Raw genomic sequence first — 14,168 nt, 5'->3', positions numbered from 1 at the left:
GTGTAAAATCAGAGTTAAATTATTTATATTTTAAACACTTGAAGTTTGTATTCTCAAGGCATGACTAAAGGAAACCTCTTTCATTCAGTGGCGGTAACTCTGGAAGACCCTACCGATAAGTATTTCATGCTCGCAGCTGCACACTTTTAATCTCTTCCTATTTCAGTGTCCTTTTATTTATTCTGATTGTTTCAAGAATAATGTTTCAATTAGGGCTAATGATTTCAACAAGTGTTCAACACCTAGTAATCCCCTTTCACAGGAAGAAGGTGTACCACGAGAAAGGCAGCCGGAAACCTTGTGGAAATGAGGAGGAAGGTGGAAGGTGGCTTTGGAGGAACACTAAGAAGTGATTTTCTTAAGAATTTTAAACTAGTTTTTGCACCAAATATTTTTATCTATCTATCTATCTATCTATCTATCTATCTATCTATCTATCTATTTTTATTATACTTTAAGTTCTGGTGTACATGTGCCAAATCTTTATAGATGAATATATGAATAAATAAGTTATTTACAAAAAGTATAGATATTTGAAGTTGACAGAGATCTGAGACCTTATGTCTTTGATTTTCCTTCATCTTACAGAATAAAAAATTGAGATGGAGTGCTCGGATAACTTATAAAAAATGACTCAGACGTTTTCTGATAGAACCATATCTAGAACTTTGAAGATTTGTTTCTGTATTCTTTCTACAATACTACACTAAATCTGAAGCAGAAAAATTGATGAACCGCTAAATAGGTTTCATATGTTTCCTTTTTAGGACATTCTGTAACACTTGCAAAAATTAGGAACTTCTTCGCACAGCCTATTCTTAGTCCTTTCTGCTGCAACATGTCCACTCATCTGAAACAGCATTAGTAATGTGAAGATAGTTATAATTTCTTATTCACTCACCTGTTCACTAAGCTAAGTCACCTCCATAAATCATTGTCATATGCAGTAGCTGTATTTCTTTTTTTTTTCTGTGAAAATCTGGGTATTCTACTATTTTACAAGATCCAAAGATAGCTCTGTCTCTTTTCATAATACAGTTGGGATCCCACAAGGGCAGATTTTATTTGTCCACAATGGATTCACAGTTGTTTGTTTCCTGTTTATACTCTTACCTATATTCCATACAACAAATTAAGAGTATCACACGTGTTTTGTATCTGTATCTATGATTAAAACTAGGAGCACTTGCCCTCATGGGTTATCTTCTCCTTCTGGTCAAGGGAAATATTACACTTTCCCTCTCTCAAGATAGGTGTAACCACATGACTAATTCCGGCTTATGAGGAATGAATGCGCACATTCTGTACCATTTTTGGCCTCAAGTATTCCATAGACCATCTGAGACCCTTCTCTTCTCTTTCTTCTTGTCATGTCCACTGAGGAGGCTATGGGCTCCAGATGGTGAAGCCACAGAGTGATGGAGCTGTCTTCTGCCCGAATTGCCAAGAAGACCTTTGACCTGGACAGCTGTTACTACATACAACTGATTTTGTGTGAGTGAAAAGTAAAGCTTTAAAGACTTCAAGATTCTTTGTTTCCACCATAGTATGTGGCTTATTCTGACTCATAGCTTTAATTAGAATACTTTATTATTTTTTAGGATTTTTTAAAATTTAAGTTTGAGAGAGTAAAGTTCATTGATTTATTTTTCTAGTGATTCATTTTTTATACTTGGTTCCAGGCATTTTGCTAAGAGCTAGAAACCTCAACCTACAGCTGTTCCCTGTAGGTCTGGAAGCAGGAAGTCTGAGGCAGGAAACAAACAGTAGTACAACCAAGAGATAGATGCTAAAATAGAGGCATGAGTACAGCACTATGGAGAACCAAGAAGCAAGGGCTTAATTCTGTCTGCAAAGTGACAATGGCTATATGAACAGTTGAACTTAAATAAGGGATGCATATGCATTAATTTGTTGGGTAAAAGTTACCAGAAGAATATACCACAGAGAGGAAATAGCATGTTCAGTGGTGCAGCATGAGAAAGAAACATATTAAAGTTTTCAGGCAAATCTAAAATGGAAGCAATCTTTGGAGATGAAGGTAGAGAAGCATACAGGGGTCAGATCATGGAGGTCTTCTGTGCCATGATGTGGGTTGTGGTAGAGAATTTATGGATATCTGTTAGTAAGTAGGCTTTACCTTGATTGCCAACTGTGGTGGTTTTGTGGTCAATACATGAAGCTCTGGCTAAGATGGATTCAAACATTGTATACACTTAATATGTGAAGTCCACCATGGGAGAGTAGAGATATAGCATTACATGATCTAATATTTGCAGTGAATTAGCATCAATCCAATACACATGGGAATAATTCATTCACTAAAGACCACAACAAATTTTTAGGATTTTTTACTGTCTTATAACGGTGATTGATGAGGAAATATGTGGAATTCTGTGGAATTCTGCTCTCAAATCAGCTGACAGGTGACGTCTTTTTAAAAAGCCAGAAACAAAAATAATAAAATCCTTAAGAGACCTGCAGGATTTTTTTCCCCTTCATTTTGGCTTTTTAAAGAAAAAAAATTATTAACAAAACCAAAACAAGAAAATTCAAGTAATAAACTGGAAAAATGCATAGTCTCCAAATTTTATCATTCAGGAAGAATTGTTATTAAGAATTGGGGATCCCCATTCCAGACAGGACTCCATATGTATATACAGAGACTGGATTGAGAAGTGAATGGTTTGGAGCTCACTACATTGGGGATGCAAGCTTGGGAGTATGAACTCTATCTTTGGCTATTGCATATCTGTTTACAGGAATTAATACTATTTTGTAGAGATTCTCTACATGGAAGAACCTGTTGGTTAAGATGGAAACCACAAACTGCCACACATTTAAGCTCTGGTCCACACAATATTCTTTGGATCCAAAAACTGAGTGTTTATGAAATCGGCTTTTTGTTCAGGATCACACAGCTGTTGGAGACAATAATATAATGTATGTCTGACCTAATGTGATGTTTTTACTTGACCATGTTGTCTGGTACAGGTCATTGTCAAACCCTTTGGTTTGAGATTTATCTCCACAAATTGAGAATTTGTTTATGAAAAACAGAAGAAATATTTGTCTACGGCAGTCACGGCTTTCTGAACAGATGGCTAAACCCCCAGAAACTGAAATACCATTATCTTTACCATGTGTTTCCCTTTAAAAACATAATCTATAAATGTGAATCTAAAAAGGCACATATGGATTGTCTGAGCAGACCACCATTCATTTTATTAAATCACATAGTAGGTAGATTTCTCAAATATTTTTTTTGTTTGTTTGTATTTTTGAGACAGAGCTTTGCTCTTGTTGCCTAGGCTGGAGTGCAATGGCCTGATCTCAGCTAACCTCAACCTCCACCTCCCAGGTTCAAATGATTCTCCTGCCCCAGCCTCCAGAGTAGCTGGGATTACAGGCATGCGCCACCATGGCCGGCTAATTTTGTATGTTTAGTAGAGATGGGGTTTCTCCATGTTGGTCAGATGGGTCTCGAACTCCCAATCTCAGGTGATCCGCCCGCATCGGCCTCCCAAAGTGCTGGGATTACTGGCAGGAGCCACCATACCTGGCCAATTTCTCTAATTTTTATAATCGGTAATTGTTTAGGCTATGACTATTCCCATTGCATTCCAATATAGATTGTTAATGAGTTCCCAGCTTAACCTTGTGTTGATGAACACCCAAAGTTCCCCACTCTCCTTATAGGCATGGAGACCTGAGAGGGTGTGTACAGAAGGTGAGAAAAATCCAAAAGCAATCATGGAGAAAAGCTGAAGAATGTTGCAGCTCTATCCCAGCAACCAGTAAACTCAGAGACTTGTTTTAAACATCAAAGTTATACGACAAAAATGGTTCAAAACAAAACACTGTATGAAGAAGAAAGAAATTCAATGTTTGAGGCTTTAAATAAAATTATGTTCAATTGACAATAATTTACAAACAAGCAATAGCTTACTGTCATAACTTACTGTTAACTTTTACATTACTCTAAAAAAGACCATAGCCTTGGAGTTATACTGTAACATAAAGATGTAATGAAAGCAATTATTATCTATTTAAACTCAGAACTAGGAAGTTTATGTAGTTTAAAAATGTTTGATAGTTTATGTTTAAAAGATTGTCAGAAAAAGCAGGAGAGCAAAAGGACCAGAAAAACAGTGCCATGATGAATAACAGCTGGCTACAGATAGTTTTTATGTGTTCCCACCAAGCATCTTCATTTAAAGGGGCATGAAAAGGAGATGCCAACCAAAGGCTTTTGATTGCTTTTGCATATGGCATATTGCCTTAGGGAATAATTTTGGATTACTTAAGGATATCCACAAACTTATAAGAAAGAGATACCCTATCATATATTTTACCATTTAACAAAACAAAACCTGCAGTCTTCTTGACATGGATTTACTGCTGCTAGCATCTCTTCTGGTCCACAATATGACACGAATTTACTTTTCTAATGCATTCTGTGTAAATATATGTCTGGTGAGAAATATTTTATCTGATGGGCATCTCAATGAAAAATTTTATTTCTAAGGTAGGAGGAACTTAAAGTGGTCAAAGAAATATGGCTATAATAAAATATATATTCTAGAAGAAAAGTGAAGATAGCAGCTGTGGAGAGAAAAACCCAGAAAATAATAGATTATATTTATAAATTAAAAAAAAACATGAGGAAGGTCTTAACAGATGTGTTTATTTGAAAGCTATAAATGCAACCAGAGGGATTTTTTTATTCAGAACTCCTATATTTTTCTTTGGGGACAGAAATATTAGCAGTAATGGGGTGAATCACAGAGGCAAGAAAAACCTACAGAAATAGACCTGTGAACTGTATAAAGGCATATAAACTTCACAGTAAAAATTCAAGGAGTGTGTACTCTGAGATGAAAAATGATAAATTTAACCTCAGGGTTTGATTGGCTTTAAATTGATAGAATAGGAGAAAAATGAAATGCCATAGCAGAGACTGGATGCCAAGTCTCAGCCAGCCTGGTGACTAATCCTTAATTCAGATGGCTGGGAAATTGACTCCCCAGACACACTACTCACTGGAGTACAATTAATTTGTGATCTAGCCCTACCCAGCAGGATGGTTTCAGGTCCAGGTCCTCCCCAGCTGAATTTCCCATTCAGATGTAGCTTTGAGGTCACAGAAGCAATACCACTGTACTGAACAAGGAATTGGGCAAGCAGTGAGGGGATAAAGCAAAGCAGTGGAGGAAAATAACAGCTATCCTTCCAAATGACTGAGTTCTAATCAGTTTCTGCCTGTGCTGCTCCCCTGGGCTCTATTCACGTGACCAAATACTTTTCACAGAAACACAAGGCACCCAACTCATAATAGTTACATGGGGGAATACTGACAATGACAATGCTGTAAATAAAAATTAGTATGATACCACTCAAAATTTTACATTTTAATAGAACTTACGGTATTCAAGAAATATTTAAAGCTTACGTTTTTATTTCATTTTATAACAGTGCTATTTGCAAGGCAGGGAGTAATTGCCAAAGAAAATTATCATGCGTTGTTCAATGAAAACTGACAGTGACAGAAAGAAATTAAGTCTTTGAAAAATAAGACTGTGAAGTATCCAGTAGATCGTGTTCCCTCATGCCTTGTTAAAATCCTTCCTATTACAGGGTTAGATGAATCAGATTTATCCACTTAAATAAATAATTTTATTTCTCCTTTCTTATTTTCACTTTTTTTTCCCCTCAGAAGAAAAGGTTGTGAAAAAGGCGAAGGCCATTTATATGGGCAGGAAGAGTTTTTGTTCATTACTGATCTTTTTTAGTAGTTTTATTGATACTTGTTTTAAAGGTTATGCCAGTTTGAATCTCCTGCGAAAAAAGCTGCTAATGTGTCCGGAATTGGTGGGTTCTTGATCTCACTGACTTCAAGAATGAAGCCGCGGACCCTCGCGGTGAGTGTTACAGCTCTTAAGGTGGCGCGTCTGGAGTTTGTTCCTTCTGATGTTCAGATGTGTTCAGAGTTTTTTCCTTCTGGTGGGTTCGTGGTCTCGCTGGCTCAGGAGTGAAGCTGCAGACCTTCGCGGTGAGTGTTACAGCTCTTAAGGCAGAGCGTCTGGAGTTGTTTGTTCCTCCCGGTGGGCTCGTGGTCTCGCTGGGCTCAGGAGTGAAGCTGCAGATCTTCGCAGTGAGTGTTACAGCTCATAAAAGCAGCGTGGACCCAGAGTGAGCAGTAGCAAGATTTATTGCAAAGAGCAAAAAAACAAAGCTTCCACACTGTGGAAGAGGACCCGAGCAGGTTGCCACTGCTGGCTGGGGCAGCCTGCTTTTATTCTCTTATCTGGCCCCACCCACATCCTGCTGATTGGTAGAGCCGAGTGGCCTGTTTTGACAGGGTGCTGATTGGTGCGTTTACAATCCCTGAGCTAGATACAAAGGTTCTCCACGTCCCCATCAGATTAGTTAGATACAGAGTTTTGACACACAGGTTCTCCAAGGCCCCACCAGAGCAGCTAGATACAGAGTGTCGATTGGTGCACTCACAAACCTTGTGCTAAACACAGGGTGCTGATTGGTGTGTTTACAAACCTTGAGCTAGATACAGAGTGCCGATTGGTGTATTTACAATCCCTGAGCTAGACATAAAGGTTCTCCAAGGCCCCACCAGAGCAGCTAGATACAGAGTGTCGATTGGTGCACGCACAAACCTTGAGCTAAACACAGGGTGCTGACTGGTGTGTTTACAAACTTTGAGCTAGATACAGAGTGCCAATTGGTGTATTTACAATCCCTGAGCTAGACATAAAGGTTCTCCAAGGCCCTATCAGAGCAGATAGATACAGAGTGTCGATTGGTGCACTCACAAACCTTGAGCTAAACACAGGGTGCTGATTGGTGTATTTACAATCCCTGGGCTAGACATAAAGACTCTCCACATCCCCACCAGACTCAGGAGCCCAGCTGGCTTCACCTAGTGGATCCCACACTGGGGCTGCAGGTGGAGCTGCCTGCTAGTCCCGCGCCGTGCGCTTGCACTCCTCAGCCCTTGGGTGGTCGATGGGACTGGGCGCTGTGGAGCAGGGGGTGGTGCTCGTCGGGAAGGCTGGGGCCGCACAGGAGCCCATGGAGTGGGTGGGAGGCTCAGGCATGGCGGGCTGCAGGTCCCGAGCCCTGCCCCGCGGGAAGGCAGCTAAGGCTCGGTGAGAAATCGAGCACAGCGCCGGCGGGCTGGCACTGCTGGGGGACCCAGTATACCCTCCGCAGCCACTGGCCCGGGTGCTAAGTCCCTCATTGCCCGGGGCCAGCAGGGCTGGCCGGCTGCTCTGAGTGTGCGGGGCCCGCCAAGCTCACACCCACCCAGAACTCCAGCTGGCCCGCAAGCGCTGCACGCAGCCCCGGGTCCCGCTCGCGCCTCTCCTTCCGCACCTCCCTGCAAGCTGAGGGAGTGGGCTCCAGCCTTGGCCAGCCCAGAAAGGGGCTCCCACAGTGCAGTGGTGGGCTGAAGTGCTCCTCAAATGCCGCCAAAGTGGGAGCCCAGGCAGAGGAGGTGCCGAGAGCAAGCGAGGGCTCTGAGGACTGCCAGCACGCTGTCACCTCTAACTAAGATAAAGTTAAGAATGCAAGAGACTTATCAGTGAAAGATAAAAGTTGGTCTGAGAAAACTTTAAAAATTCGATGTTGATCTGATGTCTGTGAAGGACAGGAGGATAGGGAAAGTAGAAATTGGTAGTAGAAGCACACTGTGTCTGAAAAGTGTCCTACCTAGGACAGAAATGGCCAAGCCCTGCTACTTTCACACTCTCATTGTTTAAGGACTTCCCAGGTAGTGTGGCACCAGATTGAATGTTGAAGCATATCCTGTGGCATAACAGTCTCTACCTTGAGGAAGAGACTAACAAAAGACTCCCTTGACTGACAGGGTGTACTCTCACACTGTGAGAATCCACGTCCCCAAACATGTTTGGTGGGCAGTTTCCCCAGCTTCACAGTAGGCCTTTCCTTCAGAGGAGGACTTGAAGACAAAAGTTAGTAGGATGAACATTTTTTTTTCTCAAAGTCAAAAATACAATCCTTAATGCCACATTTACATTAACAGCAAAATCATTTTCCACTCCTATCAGCCAAGTATATTGTACTGGATTGTAGACATTATACTTTTCACTGGTACCATGAAGTTGGAACACTGAATTAAAGTGAAACCCTAATGAAAATTTAAAAGAGAATGACAATCAGGCAGCCCAGGATTCAAGTTAGTCCCAAAGTTGTATTTTTTTCTACCAAAAAATGTTTTAAGGTATATGAATTTGTTGCCAACATTTAACAATTGGGAGATTTTTATATATGAGCCGTGGTTACTGTTTATTTTGAAAAACTCAAGATCTGACCATACTGATCCCACCTTTTTTTTTTTTTTAAGTTCTGAGATACATGTGCAGAACATGCAGGTTTTTTACATAGGTATACATGTGCTATGGTGGTTTGCTGCACCCATCAACTAATCATCCAGGTTTTAGGATAAACATTTCTAATACTGCCATTGGTCACAAGGCACTGATTGGTTCTTGCCACTCCCTTCTGTATGCTTCATTCTACATCCTCCTGACCCTCACATATTTTCTCTGCTGGCCTCAGAGGCTTCCCTTATGCTGTTACTCATACCCTCATTGTTAAAGAGTCCTAGCCCCTGCTAACCATGTCCTCTCAGGCCATGGTTGCAGCACTTGTTTAGTTCACAGTTGGGCAATCTAGTAGTAAAAGTAAATCAAGTTCATGGCCAGAATTTCATACATACTCCTCCTGCCCCCATTGTATAACAGCAACCGTATATCCTCCATGATGGTGACTCCATTTCTTGCCTGCTGGTCCTTGCACACAAGGAGTTAATAGTGCCTTGATGGCTGCCCTTGAAACCTTCTCTGTGTCCCCAGGCATGAATGTACTCCCTTTGGGGACCAGGGCTCCTAACTTTGCAGTGGCCACAGTTGTTCAGATGGGAAGGAAAAGTCTCTCATTGGGTCACTGAGAGTGATAAGTGGTATTTCTAGCCACCTGATTCCTAGACATATGCATTCTTTGTACTGGACAACAATGCCATATAGAAATTTCTTATTCAGTAAGTATACTGAGTCCTCCAAAATCACATTATTACTGAGTATTGTCTCTGAGTTGCTCCTTCAGCTGAGGCTTCCAGAGGCCAGTCTAACACTCTATTAGGATGGTTTTGCATGATACATTATGCAACATAACCAGTGGAACCTATGGTTATAGGCCCACTTCTGCAGCTCCTTCACTGTAAAATGTATGTCCTGGTCAGAAGCTATGTTGCAAGGAACTTAATGCCTGTGAATCAAGAATTTTGTAAGCTCCAGATTATCATATTTATCGAGGTTCTATAGGTTATAAAGGCAATCCATACCAAGAATTTGTCTGTTCCTGAAAAGGACTGAAGAGTTCCATTGAAATAAATTTACTACCAAGTAGTTGTTTGATCTCCCCCAAAAATGGTGGTGTATTGAGTTTTCAGTATCAAACCTTGTTGCTGGGAGGTATACATGTGCCATGGTGGTTTGCTGCACCCATCAACTAGTCATCCAGGTCATTCAGTGTTGGCAGCAACTACAAGGGCCTTGGTGGTTGGTAGTACATATTGTTGGGCCCACGCAGAGCCTATGACTCTACCATTGTGGCTTCTCAGTTCATAAGCCCAGTGTGCCATTTTTGTGTTGCTCATGACAAAATCTGTTTAATGTCAACTGGCCACGTCATTTTTTCTTTTCTCTCTTTTTCTCTTTTTATTTTGGATAGACTGGCTAGAAGTTTATCAATTGATTAATTTTTTCAAATAATTAGTATGTGCTTTATTAATTTTCTCTATTGTTTTCCTGTTTTCAATTTCATTGATTTCTGCTTTAATATTTTTATTCTTTTTATCCTCCTGGCAATAGGTTTAACTAACTCTCCCTTCTTTAGTTTCCTAAGGTGAAAGTTTGTAATATTGACTTTAGATCTTCCTTATTTTCTAATGTGTGCACTTAGTGCTATAAATTTCCCTCTAGGCACTGACTTTGGTACATAGCATACATTTTGATAAGTGGTATTTTATTTTCATTTAGTTTAAAATGCTGCTTAAATTTCACCTGAGAGTCTTGACAAATGAGTTATTTTAAAATATGTCATTTAATTTCTAAATAGTTGGGATTTTCCAGCTATTTTTCTCTTATTAACTTCTAGTTTAATTCCTTAGTGTTTTGAGAACATACTTTACGTAATTTCCATCATTTTATATTTGTTAACGTGTGTTTTGTAGCCCAAAATGTGGTCTATCTTGATGAATGTTGTATGTGAGCTTGAGAAGAATGCGCATTCTGCTGGTTTTGGAGTATTCTATAGATGTCAATTATACCTAGTTGATTTATGGTGTTGTTCATACCATTTATATCCTTACTAATTTTCTGCCTGCTTGATCTGTCAATTACTGGCAGAGGAGTGTTGATGTCTTCAACTATAGTAGTGGATTTGTCTATATCTCCTTTCAGTTCTGCCAGTTTTTGTCTCATGTGTTTTTGACATCCTACTGCAAGGTGTATAGAATGTTTGGGGTTTGTCAATGTCTTTTTGGAGAAATAACTTTTTTATCATTATGTAATGCTACTACTCTTTATCTCTAGTAATCTTCCTTATTCTGAAGGCTATTTCATATGAAGTTAGTATAACTACATTAGTTTTCTTTTGATTAGTGTTATCATAGTGTGTGTGTCTCTCTCTCTTTTTCTTTTAAGCTGTAGCAAACACAGAAAATTACCCTTTTAACAAATTTCCAAGTTCCCAGCACAATATTGTCAACCACATGCATGTTATTGTACAACAGATCCCCAGAACTTTCATACTACTTGACTGAAACTCTACACTCAGAAAAACTTCCCCTTCCCCTCCCCCAGTCCCTGGCAACTATCATTCTTCTTTTTATGAGTTTTATTACTTTATAAAGGTGGAGTCATGCAGTGGGGTGTGTGTGTGTGTGTGTGTGTGTCTGTGTGTGTGACTGGCTTATTTAACTTAGCATAATATTCTTAGGCCACTCTTTCTTTACATTTAACGTATCAGTCTTCAAAGTAGTAATTATTTATTTATTTATTTATTTATTTATTTATTTATTTTTGTTTTATTATACTTTAAGTTTTAGGGTACATGTGCACATTGTGCAGGTTAGTTACATATGTATACATGTGCCATGCTGGTGCACTGCACCCACTAACTCGTCATCTTGCATTAGGTATATCTCCCAATGCTATCCTTCCCCCCTCCCCCCACCCCACCACAGTCCCCAGAGTGTGATATTCCCCTTCCTGTGTCCATGTGATCTCATTGTTCAATTCCCACCTATGAGTGAGAATATGCGGTGTTTGGTTTTTTGTTCTTGCGATAGTTTGCTGAGAATGATGATTTCCAATTTCATCCATGTCCCTACAAAGGACATGAACTCATCATTTTTTATGGTTGCATAGTATTCCATGGTGTATATGTGCCACATTTTCTACGCTGCATACCTACAACTATCTGATCTTTGACAAACCTGAGAAAAACAAGCAATGGGGAAAGGATTCCCTATTTAATAAATGGTGCTGGGAAAACTGGCTAGCCATATGTAGAAAGCTGAAACTGGATCCCTTCCTTACACCTTATACAAAAATCAATTCAAGATGGATTAAAGATTTAAACGTTAGACCTAAAACCATAAAAACCCTAGAAGAAAACCTAGGCATTACCATTCAGGACATAGGCATGGGCAAGGACTTCATGTCCAAAACACCAAAAGCAATGGCAACAAAAGACAAAATTGACAAATGGGATCTAATTAAACTAAAGAGCTTCTGCACAGCAAAAGAAACTACCATCAGAGTGAACAGGCAACCTACAAAATGGGAGAAAATTTTCGCAACCTACTCATCTGACAAAGGGCTAATATCCAGAATCTACAATGAACTCAAACAAATTTACAAGAAAAAACAAACAACCCCATCAAAAAGTGGGCAAAGGACATGAACAGACACTTCTCAAAAGAAGACATTTATGCAGCCAAAAAACACATGAAAAAATGCTCATCATCACTGGCCATCAGAGAAATGCAAATCAAAACCACTATGAGATACCATCTCACACCAGTTAGAATGGCAATCATTAAAAAGTCAGGAAACAACAGGTGCTGGAGAGGATGTGGAGAAATAGGAACACTTTTACACTGTTGGTGGGACTGTCAACTAGTTCAACCATTGTGGAAGTCAGTGTGGCGATTCCTCAGGGATCTAGAACTAGAAATACCATTTGACCCAGCCATCCCATTACTGGGTATATACCCAAATGACTATAAATCATGCTGCTATAAAGACACATGCACACGTATGTTTATTGCGGCATTATTCACAATAGCAAAGACTTGGAACCAACCCAAATGTCCGACAATGATAGACTGGATTAAGAAAGTAGTAATTTTTAAATAAACATGCCTTTAAAAAATATTTGTCAAAAATCTCTTTCTGGCTGGGTGCAGTGGCTCATGCCTGTAATCCCAACACTTTGGGAGGCCAAGGCAGCGGATCACTTGAGGGCAGGAGTTCAAGACCAGCCTGGACAATATGATGGAACCAAGTCTCTACTGAAAGTACAAATATTAGCCAGGCATGGTGGCATGTGCCTGTAGTCCCAGCTACTTGGGAGGCTGAGGCAGCATAATCACTTGAACCCGGGAGGCGGAGGATGCAGTGAGGTGAGATCATGCCACTTCACTCCAGCCTGGGAAAAAAAAATCTCTTTCTTTTATTTAGCACATTTACACAATTAATATTTAAAAGTATTTTTAATATACTTGGATTAATATCTAACATATTTGAAACTGTTTGCTATTTGTCACATTTGTTCTTTGTGAAATTGTTGGTAATTATGCTCCAAAGTTAAAATCTCAGTAAATTTAACTTAATGGTTATGGACACTGTCTCTTATTCTTTTTTTTCCCCCAGAATAATTTGCTTTTATAACTGAAGATTTGCAAAGCTGTACTTTTTCCTTTCCTGGGAGCTTCATGCTGGTGGGGTGCTTGAATTATTCGATATCTGTGATGTCTATCTGAGTGTCTGTTGATTACCAAGGTAGTAATAATTATTTGTTGAATGAAAGTCGGATGTATGAAGAAATAAATGCTTGAGAATAGAGTGAGAGAAGTAAAAAAAAAAAAGAGCGGGAAGATGCGAGGCAGCATCTGTAACAATAACACTAAGACAAAAAGTGAAACTCTTATTATGTATTCCACACTGTACTAAGTAGACTGCATGCATTACCATTTAATCATCACGAACACCTTCCTAAAATACATCATTGAGGAGTTTAAGTTTTGAAAATGTTAAACAAACTGTACAAGAGTTGTAACTTCTAGTACCAAAACCCCACTCTGAGGTTTTTAGATCTTCAAAGATAAAAATGTATTTCTATCAAAGACGTGCTTCCCTGATGCTAAAATCTTGCTCATGAGACTTTGATTAACCAGACACCTATTATTAAGCCCATTATTAACTCTCAGTTTAAATGCACAGATTTTGTAAGAAAGCCAGTTAGTAAAGAATGTCCTTCATTTAGTAATGTAGGGATCTGATGTCAAGACAACTGTTACTTCCAAGTTATTAGGAGTTTATTTTAAGATATTCCCTTCCTTCATTTGTCATAAGAAACTTGCTTTACACTGGAGGAGTGACATAAAGCCCCAAAATATATTACTGTACGTGAAATTCACACTTCTGATGATATTTGAAAATGTATATATAAATATCGTGCCAGGTGGAAAATATTTCCTCAGATGGCCAAGTAAAATATTTATTTCTAGAAGGGAAGAAGGCAGGCAGGAAGAAGACATACAGCAGCAATAAAAAGTGCCTCCCGTCAAAGGCCTCATTGACATCAGCATAAATGCTGCCAGAAACAAAATAAGTTTTGTACAGAAATAAGTAGGAGAAATGTGTTAATATATTTATCTGAGAATAGAGAGCTACAGCAATGTGCTGACATTTTCCTGCCCATCAGCAGATTTTTGACTTTCAGTGGGAAGACATCTATCTGTACGTGTAGCAGTGAGGACCATAAGAGGTAAATGGTGCCATCGGACCATTCTAATCTTGGAGTCATGTCTATGAGGAAAGAGGAAAATAAGAAGAATC

The 14,168-nt window shown here is 39.3% G+C and overlaps 2 annotated features.

Annotated features, from left to right (window-relative positions):
• Window positions 6,563-7,062: an enhancer, noted in NCBI's record as "H3K4me1 hESC enhancer chr2:126180145-126180644 (GRCh37/hg19 assembly coordinates)". NCBI's record gives its function as "activates a minimal SCP1, AML or CMV promoter by ChIP-STARR-seq in naive H9 embryonic stem cells {active_cell/tissue: H9 hESC(naive)}" and the evidence as "EXISTENCE:reporter gene assay evidence [ECO:0000049][PMID:30033119]".
• Window positions 7,063-7,564: an enhancer, noted in NCBI's record as "H3K4me1 hESC enhancer chr2:126179643-126180144 (GRCh37/hg19 assembly coordinates)". NCBI's record gives its function as "activates a minimal SCP1, AML or CMV promoter by ChIP-STARR-seq in naive H9 embryonic stem cells {active_cell/tissue: H9 hESC(naive)}" and the evidence as "EXISTENCE:reporter gene assay evidence [ECO:0000049][PMID:30033119]".

Source organism: Homo sapiens, chromosome 2 (assembly GCF_000001405.40).
Source record: "Homo sapiens chromosome 2, GRCh38.p14 Primary Assembly".
Classification (NCBI taxonomy): domain Eukaryota; kingdom Metazoa; phylum Chordata; class Mammalia; order Primates; family Hominidae; genus Homo; species Homo sapiens.
Note: the sequence above shows the minus strand (reverse complement) of the source record. Positions and strands in the feature narration are given on the sequence as shown.